At 42.7% G+C, this 19,418-nt stretch overlaps 1 long non-coding RNA gene across 1 annotated transcript in view, besides 4 other annotated features; it reads right to left on the reverse strand.

Moving 5' to 3' along the window:
* Positions 2,932-4,131: an enhancer, noted in NCBI's record as "BRD4-independent group 4 enhancer chr2:48333670-48334869 (GRCh37/hg19 assembly coordinates)". NCBI's record gives its function as "activates an origin of replication core promoter dependent on BRD2, P300/CBP, MED14 and CDK7 cofactors, and independent of BRD4, by STARR-seq in HCT116 cells {active_cell/tissue: HCT116}" and the evidence as "EXISTENCE:reporter gene assay evidence [ECO:0000049][PMID:35650434]".
* The window catches only part of LOC105374593 (uncharacterized), a 56,709-nt gene continuing 42,393 nt past the window's right edge, over positions 5,103-19,418 (reverse strand). The window contains exons 3-4 of the long non-coding RNA XR_001739456.2: positions 5,937-6,079; positions 5,103-5,655 (exon numbers count right to left, since the gene is read on the reverse strand). This is a non-coding gene — a long non-coding RNA (uncharacterized LOC105374593). The remainder of the gene's footprint in view (positions 5,656-5,936; positions 6,080-19,418) is intronic.
* Positions 8,021-8,100: a silencer, noted in NCBI's record as "silent region_11474". NCBI's record gives its function as "represses an Ori minimal core promoter by ATAC-STARR-seq in GM12878 lymphoblastoid cells {active_cell/tissue: GM12878}" and the evidence as "EXISTENCE:reporter gene assay evidence [ECO:0000049][PMID:35858748]".
* Positions 8,121-8,230: a silencer, noted in NCBI's record as "silent region_11475". NCBI's record gives its function as "represses an Ori minimal core promoter by ATAC-STARR-seq in GM12878 lymphoblastoid cells {active_cell/tissue: GM12878}" and the evidence as "EXISTENCE:reporter gene assay evidence [ECO:0000049][PMID:35858748]".
* Positions 17,271-17,565: an enhancer, noted in NCBI's record as "tiled region #12235; K562 Activating DNase matched - State 5:Enh". NCBI's record gives its function as "activates a minimal TATA promoter and a strong SV40 promoter by Sharpr-MPRA in K562 cells {active_cell/tissue: K562}" and the evidence as "EXISTENCE:reporter gene assay evidence [ECO:0000049][PMID:27701403]".

Below are 19,418 nucleotides of genomic sequence, written 5' to 3' on the forward strand. Positions count from 1 at the left end.
TCCGTCTCAAAAAAAAAAAAAAAAAGACTTGGATCCAGAAAGGTGAAAGGACTTTGACATGTCTCACAAGTGGAAGTACAAATTGTTAATAAATATATTAAAAGGCATTCATTGCATAAATAAACAAGGAGATACAAATTCAAACCACAATGAAAACCCATGTAAAAGCATCAATTTGACAAAAATTAAGAAATCTGACAATACAAAGTATTTTCAAAGATGTGAAATAACAAGAAATTTCACACACAGCAAAAGTATGGGAGCGTAAATTGACACAACTTTAAAAACAATTTGATAGGATCTAGCAAAGCTGAAGATATGTATATACCATGAACCAGTAATTTCACTTCTAAATTTATACCCTACAGAAATGTATATACATATGTATCAGGAAATGTGTACAGAAATGGCCATGTGAATAATGGCCATTATTCATAATCAGCCCAAACTGAAATCAGCCCAAAATATCCAACAACAATAAAATGAATAAGTGAATTGTGGTATATTTACACACTTAAATACTATATAAGAATAAAAATGAATGAACTACAGCTACACAGAACAACATGGATCGATCATAAAACAATGTTGAGTGAAAGAAGTAAGACACAAAGGAATACACATGGTATTTATATAAAGTTCAAAACAAGCAAAACTAAATTATATTTTTAAGGGATGTTCATTTGGCAGAACTGTAAAGAAATGGAAGTAATTACTATAAAAGTCAGGATAATAATTATCTCTAGAGGGAAGGAAGGAGGGAGTTATGATGGGGAAGAGACACATGAAGTAAGGACTTCTGGGATCCCAGCGATGTTTTTGCTCTTGATCTGCATAGTGATTACATAGTTGTTCACTATATTCCATCTGTGTGCTTTATGTACTTTTCTTTATTTTATGATTTTAAAAGTTAATTAAAATATATATGCACATGGTTTTAAAAACCAGGCAAATGTGCATTGCAGGACTCTGGCTGGATTAATTTTTTTTTTTCAGGGCCAGGCATGTGACCAAATCAGAGCCAATGAAACACCAGTCTTTTTCCAAGACTTCTAGAAAAGAAACTTTTGCCCTTTTTCACTATTTTTTCCCACTCCAGAATGGTCTGGAGCTTCTATAGGGACAATTCTTCCTTTACTGGCTAGTCTAGTCCAGTCTAGGGTGGTCCAAGCCAATGAACTGAATAAGAAAATAAACAGTTGAACATCCAGCCACCTTGTTTCCAACTCCTGGTCAGCTCAGTGGGTGGTATAAGACAAGGAAAAAGTATGGTCCTTTATGTTGAATGATCTGACAACATAATTTTGGAGACAGGACTAAAACATACGAAACGGGGCTGTGGTGGCTGTACAGAGCTGAAATACAGCTACACATCTGTTCAAGGAAACACCCTTACATTGGTAAGGTAGTGTGGGAAAAAAGAAAAAGAAAAAAAGGAAGCACCTTTAGGAGCTAATGAAATTTTGCCAGTCCTAACTTTCTCAAATTCCTTTCTAGCCAGTCTACCAGAAAGTGGGTGTGCTTGTCACATCAAGATACAGAGGCTTTCACATGTGCAAATCCAAATTTACTTGAAAGAGACACAAAAAAGAAAATAGTAGAAATCAGTCTTGTGTCCAGCAGAAATGAGTATCGATGTGTACTAGATATGTACTAGAACCATCAAATATGCCCTATTTATAATAGCTTCCCCCAACAGACAATTACCCAAATATCCATCAGCTCTAGAACGGATAAATTGTTGTCTATTCACTCAATGGAATACCTTATAACAAGTAGAATGAATGAACTATTATATGTAAAAACATGGAAGCTTAGTGAAAGAGCCAAAGACAAAAGAGCACATATTGTATAATTCTATTTATATTAAGTATAAAAATTAAAAACTAATTTGTGCTCTTACAAGTCAGGATAATATAAGCCCAGGGTGAGAGGCGAGTAGGTGAGTGCCTGGAAGGGGCAGGCAGGGTCCCTGGGCTGCTGGTAGTATTCTGTTCTCAGTCTGGGTGCTGGTATGTTCAGTCTCAAAATTCAATGGGCTATACATTGATGACAATGTGCATGTTTCAGTGTGTAACTTATACTTCAATAAAAAGTTAAAACTATAAGAAATCTAAAAATAAAAAATTGACTTCTATGTAATTCTTGTATAGCATCTTACAAGCTGCAAGGCATGCTTAAACAACTTTGTAAGGTATGAAGTTAATACCTGTATTTTACAGATGTGGAAATTGAGCCTCAGAAAGATGAAATGACACACACATATTATCACATGGTCGTCAAGAAACAGAACTGAGAATGACCAAGGCGTGGGGGCTCTACGTTCTATGCTAGTAAATGCTGGTTATTTCCTTAGGAGAAGGAAGGCTTTTGGTTTGTCTACGCTGTTCTTCAGCAGCAGAGCTGGGGATAGTAGGAAGCAGTGCGGGGGAAGCTAGCTCATGAGCAATACGTGTAAGGTGCATAGCCCTGAGCGTGGCACAGTGCAGCCTTAATCAGCGCCACTTTTCTCCCTCCACGCAATCCCTTTTCCAGGGAAATTGCATGGGTCGGAACGTTGAACAGCACTGGTAGGTCTGGAACAAACACTGCTCACCTCCAGACAGAGTGACCAGGCTAGGGCCTCAGGCTTGTACTGAAGCCTCCTAACTTGACTGCCGGAGCAAAACTCTACTGGGATCAGGTCTGTGGAGGAAGCGCTTCTGATTTGGGTTCAAATTCCTTACTATCTATAGGGCAAGTGAGGAGTAGAGGAGCAGAGTCCAGAACACGGTGGAGAGACCCAGTGTGATAAGGAAGGTCCCTGACACTCTGATGTCCGAAAAGTGTGTGTGTGTGTGTGTGTGTGTGTGTGTGTGTGTGTAGGTGGGGTCTGTTGTGTGCCCTCTGCTGACATTCTTACTTTCACGTCATCTGAGCCAGCCTGGGCAGGGTGGAATGTATGCACTGGTTCCTGTTTAGACCCAAGCCAACTTTGTGCTCTGAGCCCCTCAGCACTCAGAAACTTGTGTTTTCCTGTCTGGAAGCCAGCCTTGTTTCTTTACCCGGAGCGGCTAAGATGATTTTCCCTGTAAGCCTCCCTGCTAGCCGTAGATTTCACATCATCACAGCGACACCTAGTGGCCAAGTGTGAAAGTCCATCCGGCCCCCCCTCCTCCATAGAGGCTCTGGAAGCCAGGGGAGGAGGAGTTTATGGATTCCAGACACTTCTGCACTTCACATACAGCTTCCAGGAGTCAGAGCTCCCCACGTTGCCAACTCCGCACAGCTCAGCTCTTAATCACATCCTGTCCTGAGTTGCCCTCGGTTTCATGTGTAATCATTTAAAATCATTTTATCTACCCAATTATACCAAGGATATGAGGCTAGGGCTATTAGAATCACATCTCTTTAGAGTTGATGACCTACTTGTTTTTCAGATGGGAAATGCAGATGCCGAGGGGTGAGGGGAATTCCCAGCTGCTGAAAAGTGAGGTTTGGACAAGAACCCGCGTCTCCTGAGCACTCCCAGGGCGGGGCTTCCCGTGGCACCATGCCATTCCCTTGCATCATCCACAGTGCCTGCACACAGTAGGTGCCTGGCACACAGAAGGTCCCCTATAGACATGCCTGACTGATAGTTCATAGTCTTCTATGCTTGCCACTGAAGTGAGTTTCACTTGTTATCTGGGTCATCTCTTACTTCTCAGCCTCTTGGGAGTTCCGATCAATTAAAGTGGGCACTCTCTCCATAGTAGGCCATTGTCTTTTTCATTTATAAAGCACACTGTAGATTCAGGAAAGACGAAATGAAGACGAGACACACAATTTAAAGTATCTCAATCCCAGCATCCGTTCAGATCAAGTGGCTACAGTGGGCTTCGTAAGCTTCAGCTCAGCGCTTCTTAAACTTTCACATGCATCTAAATCTCCTGGGAATCTTGTTCCAACACATATTCTGGTTCCATCGGTCTGGGGTGGGACCTGAGATTCTCCATTTCTAACAAGTTCCTCGAGGCTGTTGAGGCTACCCTTGCTGCCAAAGCTGGGAAGTGCACTTTGAGGAGCAAAGATGCAGATAACTACCTCCACCCCAGACAACTGCTTTTGAGAGAGCCCACCTCAGCCCCTGCTGCAGCCCCTCTGACCTGGCTTCAGGGGAAAAGAAAGGCACTAAAGCAACTGTGAGCACTGTGACCCCTCGGTGAGTCATCCCAAGTCTCTTTCCTCACCATATCCACTGTCCGGAAGCTCCTGCCCTCAGGCAGTCTGAAGGGAAGGCAAGATTGAAACTGAACAAAAATGGCACAGAAAAGGAGAGGTAGACTTGCTGCTGATGTGCCTCACAGTGTTCCTGAGGAACAGCCCTGCTTGGTTGCCATTTTATAATTAGGTACTCATGACATCCCCATAAACCACAGGCTTCTCTTTTTAATTATAAAATGTACTTTAATTTATACAGTTTAATTATAAGGTACGTTTATTCACATTTTCTTTTTCTTTTCTTTTCTTTCTTTTCTTTTCTTTTCTTTCTTTTCTTTTATTTTTCTTTTTTTTTTTTTTTTGAGACAGAGTCTCACTCTGTCGCCCAGGCTGGAGTGCAGTGGCGTGATCTCAGCTCACTGCAACCTCTGCCTCCCAGGTTTAAGCAATTCTCCTGCCTCAGCCTCCCGAGTAGCTGGGACTACAGAAGCACGCCACCACACCCAGCTAATTTTTGTGTGTTTAGTAGAGATGGGGTTTTACCATGTTAGCCAGGCTGGTCTCGAACTCCTGACCTCAGGTGATCCACCCACCTTGGCCTCCCAAAGTGCTGGGATTACAGGCATGCCACTGCACCCGGCCTCATATTTTCATTTGTACTATTCTTTTCCTACCACTGAACACACCAAAAATGTTCACTAATGCTAAATTAAGAAAAGAAGGAAATGGGAATTTATTGAGCCATTACTATATGACCAATATTATGGTGAGTATCTCCATGCATGTTATTTAATCTTCACAATGCTCCTGTAAGGTGGTGTTATTACCTTATTTACAGATGCAGAAAACTGAAGCTCAGGGAGATTGGGTAAATTACCCAGGACCACACAGTAGGGATAGGAGCCCATATATATATTTGATTGAAAAGTTATTTTTAGTCAACAAATTCAATTCAAGAAATACAATGATAATAAATACTAGCATTTGCATTGTGTTTACCACGGATCAGACATTGCTCTAAGCATAATGCATTAATTCATGTAATCCTCACATCAATCTTATGAGGTAGGATCACCCCCATTTACAGATGAAGAAACTGAGTCACAGAAGGGGCAAATGACTGACCCAAGTCACACAGCTATTAATATGAAGTGATGGAACTGGGATGGCAATCCTGATGGCCTGGCTCCAGAGAGATAGTCTCAAACACTATTTCATATTGTCTATCAATTTCCTTCTAATTTCTTAATCTTATAGTTGAGTGGAAATTGCCTCTTCCCTTGTTGTTTCACCCTTTTCTTATTCAGTGTATACTGCACTGCCCTGAAAAATTTCTGCTTACCATATTAGTAAGCATCTACAGTTCTGTTTTCCAACTAGGACTGCCTAGGGCTTTGGGCTCTCTTTGTATGCAGCAAAGGCTGGGGTCTTCCTGAAGAACCTGTTTCTCCATTAGCTGGAAGTTGAAGGAATCTGAAAGAGTTTAGGAAGTCATGAGCTTCTCCATCAGCTAGTCACCCTCTCCCACCTTGGCTGGCTGGCCTAAAGTCAGAGGACAAAAAGATGAGGCTCAAGGGCTGGCTGACAAACTGAGCCGGGCTGGCCCAGTAAGAGTCCACTCTACAGACATAATAAATGTTGGCTGTACACACAGGGCCCTTTCCCTACTACTGACAATGTTTTATCACTTTGTAATATTTTTTAACTCCAAATTTTCTATTTACCATACACACTTCTCAGTCTTGTTTTCCTACCTGAAGGATTCCAGAGGGTGAAAGTGGCTTCATATTTCTGTGTGCACAGGAGTTGCAGCTTTATAGATCTATCCCAGCTCTCCCTCTAGCTGTGCAACTGTGAGTGGGTTATTTGAACTTTTCTTGAACTTTGGATTCCTCACCTGTAAAGTGGGAATAATGAGAATCTACTTCGAAGGATTGCAGCATAGGAATAATAAATCTAAAGTGCCTTGCTTGTCATAGGCCCATAGAAGTAGCCATTGATTAATACAATTTATAAATACATTCCGAGTGAATGAATGATATGAATAAATATAAGAAGAAGTTGAGACAGCTAACCTGACTCCCCAAACCAACAACTTTCTTAAACATGGACATTTAGAATTTTTTTTTTTTTTTTTTTTTTTTTGGTGAGAACTGAGTAAAAAGACACGCTCACTTAAAGTTGTATGGGAAGAGTCCAAAGACAAACTTCCTCAATTTTTCTAGCTTTGCTAAGTTCAGGGCCTAGGCTGATCTTAGCAGCTAGGACAGGCCTCTCAAAAACTTCCTTTGTCTCAACTCTGACCCGGCTCCAAATTTAAACCCAAACCTTTCCACTCAAGACATCCAAAATGACTGGATGTTTTTCTTTTTGGGGAGGCTAGGTGAGAGGAGTGTGTCATGTCATTGCTTTCTATGGACAGAACAAAATTACATATTTTGTTGTTGCTTTCGGAGAGAAAACTAAGTTATCAAAGGAACTTAAGGTACTGTGGTAATATGAGCGCACCCACTGATAAGCGTGAAAACTCTTTTGAAAACAAGAAACAAAGTCTGAAAGCAGAAAATAGTTTTTCTTGTCTCCAGGATGATAATAGACTTTAAAATAACATGGTTTTTTTATCGGTATTTTTTTTCTGCATGCTGTATCAAATGAAGGAGGATTTGTCTTAAAAACCAATTCATTTTTCAAATCAAGATGTGCCTGGTTTACTGATTATAGAATCCCTACTTAAAAAAAAAAGGATTGTGTTTGACTTGTAAAAATAAAATAAAATACAAATAACATCACCCATATGCTCAGTGTAATGGCACACGACTCTAAGTTTGAAAACTTCTACGCTTGGGTTTCTAATGTGATTACAATGGGTTGTAAAGTGGGTGAGAGAAACTCGTTTCCCAGGTTAGGATGTCTATTTACCACCTACTGGAATCTATGACAGTTTGGAGTAAGACAATAAAAGGCTAGAAGGAAATGAGTACTGTTGACTCATGAATCCATGCACTCTGCACTAATTACAATGCCTCAGTTTCCCTATTTTATAAAATGAGGCTGTCACTTGCCCGCCTCTCTGTAGTGTTTAGAAAGTCCAGGGAGATAATAGACTTTGAGTGCTTTGAAAATACAGAATATATTATAAGTGCTAAATAATAACAATAATAATGGGGAGTCTTTAATAACAGGGGTCCTTTAATAATACTCATCAAGTATAATAACATCACTAACCAGAGTGCGTCTCTGTGCTCTTAATCATTGGTTTGTCTCATGGGAAATTGGTGGAGGATTGACGCCTCGTACGAGTTGGTTTTGATGGATTTAACACAGAGCCCCTCAGTGAGGCTTGCACTGGACTCTCCAAAGAGCAGGGTAGCTTTTAGGAAGACAACGCCCGTGCAATTGGGAGAGGACAGAACCGAGGTATCTTCAGGGAACGTGATTTTAAAATCCAGTTCCTAGCAGGTTGGGGAAAGAAGGAAAGGTACGTTTGGAACCCAAGAAAGTTGTGGGCATGCGGATCTGGCCGTTGGGCCAGTGTGGCCACCCAGTCCTGCCACAAGATGGCGACAGTCCAGCTGGAAACGCCTGCCGGGGTCCCTCGGTTTCCAGCTCCGGAAGGACTGCCCCCGCCGACACAAAGAAGGAATCTTCCGAACGGGAAAGGAGCGTGCGGTCGCCCTCCCGGCGGAGATTGGAAGAGGTGCTGACAAAGGCTGCCTGGAGAAGTGGGCAGCCTCCTTCTCAATTCCATGGGCTTCAGCTTCATGCAGCTGATTCCCCTTTGCAGGGATTTTGTGCAAAAGCACCCGAGAAATTCCAGGTTTGACCCCACCCTCTGCCCAGAGGCCGGCCAGATGCTTCCCGGGGCGGTGACATTCCCAGGATTCCGGCAGGGGGAGTGGGAGCTTCCCGGGGCGGGGCGCGGCCAGGCTGAGCCCGGCCATGCGCCCTCCCCTCCCTCCCCGGCCGGCGCCCCCGGCTGGGCAGGGCGAACCCCACCAGCCCCACCCCTGGAGCCCTGGAGCCTTTGGGGTTCAGGACCATGGACCTGAACACCCGAGACCGCAGCGCTCCGAGGCCCTGAGTCCCAGTGGCAACTACAAAGGCGCTTCCTCCTCTCCTGCCGCACAGTTTGCCTGGGGAAAGATCTAGAGGTTGTCTGTGGCTTGGGGGCCGGAGTTCTCTTTGTCTTATTTTTGTTTCGTTTTGAACATGAGGAACCACCACACCCGCGTTTGTTTCATTCAGGCTGGTGCAAACTTGCTTTGGAACAAAGTGTTAGGAAACACAGATTCCCATCTAGAGGTTCCAAATGCAGTTTATGAGACCATACTGGGCTGCAGCCCTGGGCCCTGGCCAGACTGGCCTCCATTGTTCAACTCTTGGCCGGACTATCGCAGCCCTGGGCAGATCCTTGCTCCTCCAGCCCGGGTCTTGGCTAGCACCCGGGATAGGAGAGGGAAGCCCAGAAGAGCGGGGTCACTGGCCCCAGCCTGGGCTTAGCGGGCTCTTATCTGCCCTCCCTTCTGGGCTGTGGGGTAAGAATAATAGTAGCAAAGATCAGCCAGGCGGCGGTGGCTCACCCGTGTAATCCCAGCACTTTGGGAGGTCGAGGCAGGCGGATTACCTGAAATCACGAGTTTGACCAGCCTGGTTAACATGGTGAAACCCTGTATCTACTAAAAATACAAAAATTAGCGGGGCGTGGTGGCGGGCGCCTGTAATCACAGCTACTTGGGAGGCTGAGGCAGGAGAATCGCTTGAACCCGGGAGGCGGAGTTGCAGTGAGCCGAGACCACGCCACTGCACTCCAGCCTGGGCGACAGAGCAAGACTCTATCTCAAAACAAACAAACAAAACAAAAAGCCCGGGCGCGGTGGCTCACGCCTGTAATCCTAGCACTTTGGAGGCCGAGGCGGGTGGATCACGAGGTCAGGAGTTCGAGATCAGCCTGACCAACATAGTGAAACCCCGTCTCTACTAAAAATACAAAAATTAGCCAGGCGTGGTCGTCCATGCTTGTAAGCCCAGCGAGTCAGGAGGCTGAGGCAGGAGAATCACTTGAACCCGGGAGGAAGAGGTTGCAGTGAGCCAAGATCACACCACTGCACTCCAGCCGACAGAGCGAGACTCCACCTCAAAAAAAAAAAAAAAAAAAAAGTAGCAAAGACCATGGGTTGAACATGCCAGATACGATTACCTTATTTAAGCTTCGTACCACTGCTATCTCCCTTTTACAGATGAAACAACCAAGGCTTCAGATGTTGAGTAGCCCAAGGCCATACAACTCTTAAATAGTGGGGCTGGGATTTGAATCCAGATCTGCTTTTCTCCAAAGCACCAAGCTGTGCTTGGTACCTCCTTATGTAGTTCCTACATCCCCAGTGTGAGACAACTGGGTTATATAAAGAAATACTGGGTGCAGTGGGGTGCTTAAACATCAACATGGGCTTTTAAATGTGGGCCGGAGAACTGGGCTAGTCTAGTCTGCCTTCTTTCCTTCCTTCAACAAATGTTTATGAGTGCATGCTGTATACCAAGGGCTTATCTAGACATTGAGAAATCCTAGGAAGCAAAACAGACCACACTTACTAAGCTATGTGACCTGAGCAAATCACCAAATGTGCTAGTTATTAAGCAATTGACTTTCACACCAACTTGCCTTCTGTATGTGGCTTTGAGATGGTGCATCTAAGACTCTGCAAACCACATTTCTCCTTTGCCGCTAGTCCCTGTGAAGCTCTGCCAGGGTGCTAGATAGAGGGAGACTCAAGGAAGGAGAGGAAGAGGACACTCTTATTTCTGTTGCCTTGCTATCCCTGTCAGCTTCACCCTAGCATCAGCAGTAGGTTCTGGCCTCCGGTTTTCTTCAGCACTCCCTGTCCAGTGTTGTCATGTCATCATGCCCCCTCAAATGTTTCAGCACCGGGAGGAGCAGCCACCCCTCCTCTCCAGTCTGAGCCCAGGCTCTGGGGTCCCCTCCTCTGATCTCCTAGGTTTTCATAGCCTAACCTTTTCCCCTTTGTTTCCCAGCCCTGGTGTGGTAGCTGCTTTCTACAGGGACTATCTCTGTGTTACCACAATGTTCACTGTTTTCCAGCCCTTCAATATCTATAACGAGTGGTATGCTTGTAAATATTTAACAACCAATTCTCTAGAAAAACAAAAACCACAAAGAAACCAATTTGTAATGTGTGCCAATTCCCATAATATAAATCATTCACCATGGATAGTTTTAAATTATCAACATGGCATCCCTGAATTTCACAAGCTGGTGTGAGCAGATCCAGGATACAAATGCTGGCAACCAATATCCCCTATATTAAAATGTCTGTGTTGAAGTACCTAGTTTCATTTCTGTTTTCAGGACTGGGCCCTGATTGATAACACCTCAGCTTCTGAGCATCTATTTTTGGGCTCTGAAATGGAATTACTACCATTTCTTCTAATAGAGCTGTTTGGATAATATGAAACAATATAAGTAAAACACTCTGAAAATTACTTTTAAAAATTTGAGACCATAACATAGTTTCTAGACGTTTCCACTGAAGGAAGTGAAGTCAGGATGATGAAAGTAGGCAAAGCATTTTAATGATGGCTCACAGAGGTGTTCCAGGTGCTTTTAGAACCCAGGATGACCTCAGAGCATGGGTGGAGCCTGATGACTCAGAATCAGAGAGGCAGTCATATCAGTGACTGGATTATGATGTCACAAGGCGTGTGTGTGGATACTTTGTTCTTCAAGGATTCTGAGACTGAATATTGTGCAAACCAAGAAAGCACATAAACCCAAAGGGCAAACAATTTATGTAATTCAACTAATACCACAGATGTGGGGCAGGGTTGAACTTTTACATGAAAATCTACTCAGTTGTACAAAGGAAATAAAACTGTAGTTTTCCATAACTGGCTAAACTTTTCCCTCAAGATGTCAACCCACTGAGCACCTTGAGAAGGAAACAGTCTTTAAACTTGCAAAATCACTAGGATCTCCATTTCTGCCATTTAAGTAACCTCTTTGGAATGACTTAGAGTGTGCGCCAATGCTCAGTCTTCCCAATCTCCTCTCCCTGCTCCTTTCCAGGGTCACATTCTAGGGTATGTGGGAGTGTATATGATCTTATGGCACAGGGAGGAGGCCTCAGATTCACATGTCCTCTGCCTTCTCCCTCTTCTCTTGCCTGATCATCTAGTTTTTTGTCTCTTCCTGACACAAATACCGGATTCTCAGACATGTCTTTCTGATGTAAAAGCAAAACAAAACAAAACAACACTACATGCTGAGGCTTCTTAATCCTGACCCCAGATTTTGGCTATCTGGTCAGGCCTCAACCCCTTCATGTCATCCAAATAGGACACTTGGGAACTTTCAGGTACTCTGTACACTACACGTAGGCTATAGGGACCCAGGGATGCTGCCTCTGCTGCTTCTGCCTTCTTTGAGACTACCCGTCACTGCCCCTCACTGTTGGGTGTAGTGAAGCTAAAAGCTAGGCTCCTCCTAGAAGCCTGTGGACTCCCCAGACCATGCCTGGGAATGGAGCCACCACATCCAGTTAACCTGGGCTCCCTGATGCCCAGCTGGGTATCTCTACACCTTCGTCTCCTTGAGGTTCAGCAAGGGAAGGCTGGCTAGAACCCTGGCAGTGGCATCTAACCAACTCTGTCTTCTTCTGGATCTGCCTATGTTTTCCTTTCTCATGCTTTTACCTCTTCAGAATGAACAACCCTCACCATAGCCTCCTTCCTCCTGGGGGCACCAGGCTTCCTGGCTAAATGGCTAAGAAGAATCCTCTTTATGCTGTGGAAGAAGCTTTGGTCTGAGTTGATATGGGAGCCTCAGTAAAACTGGGCATTATGAGTTACTGAGGATAAAAATACATTGGGTTAGTACTCTCAAACTATTGCCCCCTTTATATATATATCTATATACACACACATATATATACACACATACATACACATATATTCAATATATTTTATATTCAATATATATTGAATATTATATTCAATAATATAAGTTGATTGTTATATTCAACTATATATATAGTTGCCTTCAACTATATATATTTGTTATATTCAATTATATATATCAACTATATGGTTGCCTTCAACTATATATATATATATAGTTGAATATAACAATCAACAAAGACAAAATATAGTAATAGTTCTGGCCAAGAAAATTTATTTTTATAGTTAAAAAAAGATCCTTGGTTCCCCTGCTTACTGAAGTTATGCATACTTCTGGTAAAACAAGTGAACAAACAATCTACAATATGTTTCTAAATGTCCAACAAAGGGAAGAGAGCACCTCTGTTCTCCTGGTTTGGCCAAGGGCTACTGCTCATAAAACATCCTAGTTCACAAAAAGCTTGTTTAAAAAAACTTCCTTTATAAGGTGCCAGCGTCTGTTCAGGGGCTAGCTAGGCATTGTCCTTTCTAAGCCACTGGGAATCTCTTCCTTTCGAGAGTCAGAAAGAATATTTTCTCTTGAGTTTGGAGACTATAAGCTAGAAAAGAAGAATGAGGCCCGGGGACCAGGTTGGAAGGTGGAATGGATATGAGGAGTAGGAGAAGTCATGGATGCAAAGTGCAATAGAAAATTGTTTCTGGGGCCAATCTAGATTGAATTTCCAACTGGGCTTCTGCCATACCTTCCTTTATGAGTACACATGCACTCTGGTTTGTTTGGATATGTTCTACAGCATTTGATGATGTTTATAGAATGAGATGGGGATACAAGCATGGTGGTGTCCCTTCTCAGTTACAAAGTGCTGGAAGTAGGATGCTCTGCTGAGCCCCAATAGAATACAAGTATTTTCCTGAGTGCCATATGCTTTCTCTTCCATTTTCCTATATGATCTTCCAAACAGTCCCATGTGGTGGGAAACCCCATTTAATAAATGAGGAAATGAAAGCCCATGGCAGTTAAAATGACACAAAGTAGAACTGGGACCACACTCAGGTCTCCTAATCCTCAACCCAGGGCTCTTTTCTCTATGCCAAGTTGCCCTACAATGCCAGTGCAGAAGAGCCAACTGACTTTTCCTTCAATCTCTTCCCAAGGCTGAGTTCCATATGAGAGCTGAGGTTTGCCAACCTGTTTTGCTCTGCTCAAAAGTGATGGAAATAGCATAGAAATCACAGTGTGCAAATATCCAAGTTGGCCTTTTTGAGTTGTTCCCCATCCAGAAAGGCAAAGTATTGATCACAGAGGAACCTGAACAGGAGAACAAGAGAGTACATGCTCCATTTGGTGGGTTAGCAGATTGTGAGTGCAAGAGTTAGGGAAAAGAGAAGATAAAGAACAGAACAGCCAATGACTGAAGACAGGATTCCTGGGATATCGGTGTTCAATGGACAACTTGAAGGTCAAACCCAGGCAGCTGTAAGTGAATAAGTAGGTGACTTTGCAGTACCCCCGTCTGCATTCCCAACTCAGAGAGGAAAAACTGTTCCTCTACCCTCTTATGTCCAGTTTTGGGGGGCCTGCAAATTAGACAGATGATAGATTAGCAAGAAAAGACAGATTTTAATTATGTATATATGAAAGGGAGTTCACAAAGAAATGTGACTCAAAAAGGCAGTTAGAATTCGAGGTTTAAATATATCTTAATAGGTAAAGGAGAGTGAGTAAAAGAGTGCTTATGGGAAAGCAAATGACTTTTAGGAAAGCTAAATGGATGCTTAGCAGAATAAATGGGAGCTATAATACGTTTGTGACAATGACTGTTGGTGTGGTGCCTACTTCTCATTGTCTGATTTCTCATTGTCTCTGATGATAAAAGTCATTCTTCCCTGGTTGATTTATGACAATTGAGGTCTATTCAAAAGTCCTGCTTTTAGGCAGTTAAGGGATCTCAGGAACTCAAATGCTTTCAGCTCAAAATATTTTTATGCCACAGTGGCTTATCCTAAACACCTTCACTACCTTCTACCTCGCACTGAACTCACAGTCTATTTCCTCCAAGGAGGAAATTTGCGCTTTTTATATTATATGTATTATTTGTAATTAAAAGTCTTGATAAACTTTTTTAGTAGCCAAAGGTGTGAATCAGTAATTACCAGAAAACGATTTCAATTTCCTCTCAAATCACTTCTACCTCAACTTCTTATTGGGAAAGTAGGAAGGTATATATTAAAATATTTTTTTAAAAATCTAGTAGTAGGCCAGGCATGGTGGCTCACACCTGTAGTCCCAGCACTTTGGGAGGCCAAGGCAGGAGGATTGCTTGAGCCCAGGAGCTCAAGAGCAGCCTGGGCAACATTAGTGAGATCCTGTCTCTACAAAAAAATTTAAAAATTAGCCGGGCATGGCAGCACATGCCTGTAGTTCCCTCTAATCAGGAGGCTGAGGTGGGAGGATTGCTTGAGCCTGGGAGTTTGAGGCTGCAGTGAGCTATGATTGTGCCACTGCACTCCAGCGTAGGTGACAGAGCAAGACCCTGTCTCAAAAAAAAAAAAAAAATCTAGTAGTACACTTACTTATAAGTTCATTCCTGGAGCTAATTATGAAGTTAATACGGGAGTAGGGGTGGACTGGGGTGGGGTGGAGTTCATAGTTCAGCGGACTGAGATTTCTGTTTCCATAGAGCTGTAGTTCTGGGCTAGCAACATCAACTATCAGAATCACCTGGGGGCTTGCTAGAAATGCAAATTATCAAGCCCCACCCCTAACCCTAGTAAATAAGAAACTCTGGAGATGGAGCTCATCATTCTGTTTTTGTTTGTTTGTTTTTGAGACAGACTCTTGCTCTGTCACCCAGGCTGGAGTGCAGTGGCGCAGTCTGGGCTCACGCAACTTCTACTTCCCTGGCTCAAGACATCCTCTCACCTCACTAGCCCCCTGCCTCCGGCTTCCCTGACCAACCCGGGGAGCTGGAACTACATGAGTGCACCACCACACCCAGCTAATTTTTGTATTTTTTGTAGAGACAGGTTCTTGCCAAGTTGCCAGGCTGGTCTCAAACTCCTGGGCTCAAGCGATCCACCCACGTCAGCCTCCAAAAGTGCTGGGATTACAGGTGTGAGCCACTGTGCCTGGACACATAATTCTGTTTTAACGAGCCCACCAGGTCATTCTGTTGCTCCCTCATATGGTTTAGTCTGGGCTGCACGTTATCATCACTTGGTTATGTTTTAAAATTGCTCATGTCTAGACCCTATCCTAGATCGTCTACATCAGAACTTCTAAGCCTGAGGCCAAGGTGTCTCCATTTTTACAGTTCCCAGGTGGTTCCAATGTGCAGCCAAGGACAAGAACCACTGCCACAGAGATTGCTGATGACTATGGGGGATGGCTCCAAAAAGTGGTAGTATTGTGAGAGGCGTTTGAACCAGAGCAACTCCATCTTGAATAGGAGGCGGGTAAAATAAGGCTGAAACCTACTGGGCTGCATTCCCAGAGGGTTAAGGCATTCTAAGTCACAGAATGAGATACGAGGTCAGCACAAGATACAGGTCATAAAGACCTTGCTGATAAAACAGGTTGCAGCAAAGAAGCCGGCTAAAACCCACCAAAACCAAAATGGCCATGAGAGTGACCTTTGGCTGTCCTCACTGCTACACTCCCACCAGTGCCATGGCATTTGCCAACATCAGGGAGTTACCCTATGTGGTCTAAAAAGAGGAGGCAGGAATAATCCACCCCTTATTTAGCATATAATCAAGAAATAACCATAAAAATGGGCAACCAGCAGCCCTCAGGGCTCTATTGAGTAGCTATTCTTTTGTTCCTTTACTTTCCTAATAAACTTGCTTTCCTTTTAGTCTATGGACTCGCCCTGAATTCTTTCTTGTGGGAGATCCAAGGACCCTCTGTTGGGGTCTGGATCAAGATCCCTTTCCTGTAACAGTATCAGTGGCTGTTTTACTTATTTATTTATTCCACAAATAGTGAGCACATACTCTTGTACTCTCTATACTTCTTACAATATAACAATGAATAAGAAGCAGTCATTGTCTTCCAGAGAGACGTCGACACACATATTTCAATACCGCAGTGGGAGCTCCAGAGGGTAGCTTAGGGGAAGAAGTGGGCATAATCTCATCTACTTCTACCTCCATTATTTGAAAAAAAAACTTACTCTTCTCAATCTTATGTGAAAAAGATAGGCAACTGTAGCTTCAAAAGAAGTTCCATTACAAACCCCAACCAGATTGTCACTCCTAATCTCCTTCAATAGAGAAATTCTGAAGGCACCACCACAATGCTAGGGTGTAAAATTCTATGATGTGGGTGTGTAGAAAGTGCCATGAGCATAAGAGAGAGCATCTAACCATATGTTAGAACTATGGTAGCCAGATGGAAGGTTTTAGAGTAATTTTAACGTGAGCACTTAGCCTGAAGATGAAAAGGAGGTTTCTACTGGGACAGATCTATTACACAAAATGCACTCAACACGTATTTGTTGAATGAAGGGATAAAAAGATGAAGGAATGAGTGGATGAATGGATGGATGAATAGATGAACGACAGGATGCTCCAGACAAAGGAAACAGTATATCTAAAGCACCCAAGTGTAAAGGGCATGCTGTGTTTGAGCAGCTGTAATCAGTCCACCATGGCCAGAGTTCAAGGTTATGTAGATAAGGCAGGAATCAAATCATAAAGAGCCTTCTAAGCTGTGATGGTAGATTATGTTATTCTTCGTAAATTTTCTTTTCTTTTTTCTTTTTTTTTTTTTGAGACAGAGTCTCATTCTGTTGCCCAGGCTGGAGTGCAGTGGTGTGATCTTGGCTCACTGCAACCTCCGCCTCCAGGTTTCAAGCGATTCTTCTGCCTCAGCCTCCCAAGTAGCTGGGATTACAGGTGTGCACCACCACGCCTGGCTAATTTTTGTATTTTTAGTGGAGACAGGGTTTCACCATGTTGGCCAGGCTGGTCTCGAACTCCTGACCTCAGGTGATCCATCCACCTTGGCCTCCCAAAGTGCTGGAATTACAAGCAGGAGCCATACATCCGGCCCTTCACAAATTTTCAGTGCCCCTCTCTGTGGGAGCACTGTGTATCCCTACCCTGTTGAACTCAGATGTGGCCATGTCACTTGTTTGGCCCATAAAATGTGAGTGGAATTGATGTGTACCACTCCTAGACAGAAACTGTGAGAGCCAGCCTGTGGTTGCCATACTCTCTTTTCCCTGTTTCTGCAATTGTGGAGATATGTGAAGAAATGGCACCTCCATCAGCCTGGCCCCTGAGTGACTAGAAGACCATTTGCTGACTCATGATGGATAAGTGTCATGAACAAGAAATAAACCCTGTTGCAAGCCATTGTGGTTCTCTTTTTGACATTGCATCATATCTAGCTGATCCAAACTGATAAATTTGTGAAGGAACCACCGAAAAACAACTCTGGTAGAACTGCAGTATAGATTGGATGTTTGATTCATTTGTTTGTTTATATAATAAATGTCTTTGGGCATGTACTAAGCAAAAGCATTAAAGAAGATAGAAAGATATGTAAAGCATAGTTCCAGCATTTAAAGGAGTTTACATTCTAGTGTGCCTATTCGAAACCTGAATAAAAAGTGTAAGAAGTAGGTTAACATTTATTGAATATGTATGAAGTATCAGACACTATATTAGCTGCATGCATAGTGCTTCATGGTATGTGATTCTCAATAATGGGCATGTGTTTTACATTATTTTGTAGTACCTTGGCAGTTCAGTGACTTGCTGAGATTCAAATCCAGTGTTTCTCCCTTCATCATGTACCATAAAGAACTAAATAACACTTAATTTTCCTGCTAAGACCAAGATTCTGAACTAGAAAGTAGAGTCTATGACTTGAGTTGGCTAGCAATGGGAACTGGTGGAAGAAAGAGATGAAACAATTGGATTAAGAGAGAGAGAGATAGGAAAGAAGAAATAATTGTGCTCATTCATTCATTCATTCAATCATTCATCCTACAAGTATACGTTGAATTTGTGCTTGTGTTCAGCATGTTTTAAGATACTTGGGAAGTATAATAGGAGCAGGAGAAGACAGAATTTATGCCCAACGAGTTATATCTAGCTGGGAAGATAAGGTGAACATACAGGAAACAGGGAATAGGCCAAAATAGCCTATATCCAAATGTTAAGCTCACTGCAGGTGGCACAATGGAGACAATACTGGTGTAAGGTCAGAAGACTCAGCATTGTTGGTGGGAATGTAAAATGGTACAGCTGTTGTGAAAAACAGTATGTGGATCCTCAAAAAATTAAAAATAAATTGCCATATGACCTTGTAATTGCACCTCTGGGTATATACCCAAAATAATTACAATTAAAAGCAAGGTCTCAAAGAGATAGTTGTATACCTACATCCATAGCAGCATTACTCATAATAACCAAAAGATGGACGCAAACCAAGTGTCCATCAATGGATGAATGGATAAACAAAATGTGATATATACATACAATGGAATATTATCTAGTCTTAAAAAGGAAGAAAATTCTGACGCATGCTGCAACATGCATGAACCTTGAGGACGTTATGCTAAGTGAAATAAGCCAGACATGAAGTAACAAATTCTGTAGTATTCCACTTATATGAGGTAACTACGGTAGTCATATTCATAGACAGAAAGTAGAATAGTGGTTACCTGGGACTAGGGGGAGGGAGAAATGGGGGATTGTTTTTCAGCACAGAGTTTCGGTTTTGCAAGATGAAAAGAGTTCTGGAGATTGGTTGTACACCAAAGTGAATGCACTTAACACTACTGAACCATACACTTAAAAATAATTAGGATAGTAAATTTTATGCTATATGTATTTTAACACAAATACATAAATTAGGCAACAATGGTCAAGGTGGCAGATATATTAAGAATCATATTAGGGACCGAAGGCCTTTGGGCTTTGTTCAAAAAATGAAAAAAAGAAATCAAGAGCAAACTGACTGAAATGTAATTCATTAACCATACCATTTGTAATTTAGGTATTTTACATCCATAGAACATTTTTGCCAGCCTCTAGATTTGCCTAGAATGACAAGAATAGAATCATTCACATTAAATTGTCAAGTGCTATATACTGAATGTTTATGTCCCCCCCAAGTTTACGTGTTGAAATCCTAATCCTCAATGTGATGGTATTTGGAGGTGGAGCCTCTGAGAGGTGATTAGATCATGAGAGTGTAACCCTTATGAATGGGATTAATGGCTTTATAAAAGAGGCCCCAGAGAGCTCCCTTGCCCCTTCCAGCAAGTGAGAACACAGTGAGAAGATGCTGTCTATGAACTAGGAAGTGG

This window comes from Homo sapiens, chromosome 2, assembly GCF_000001405.40.
Source record: "Homo sapiens chromosome 2, GRCh38.p14 Primary Assembly".
NCBI classification, from domain to species: domain Eukaryota; kingdom Metazoa; phylum Chordata; class Mammalia; order Primates; family Hominidae; genus Homo; species Homo sapiens.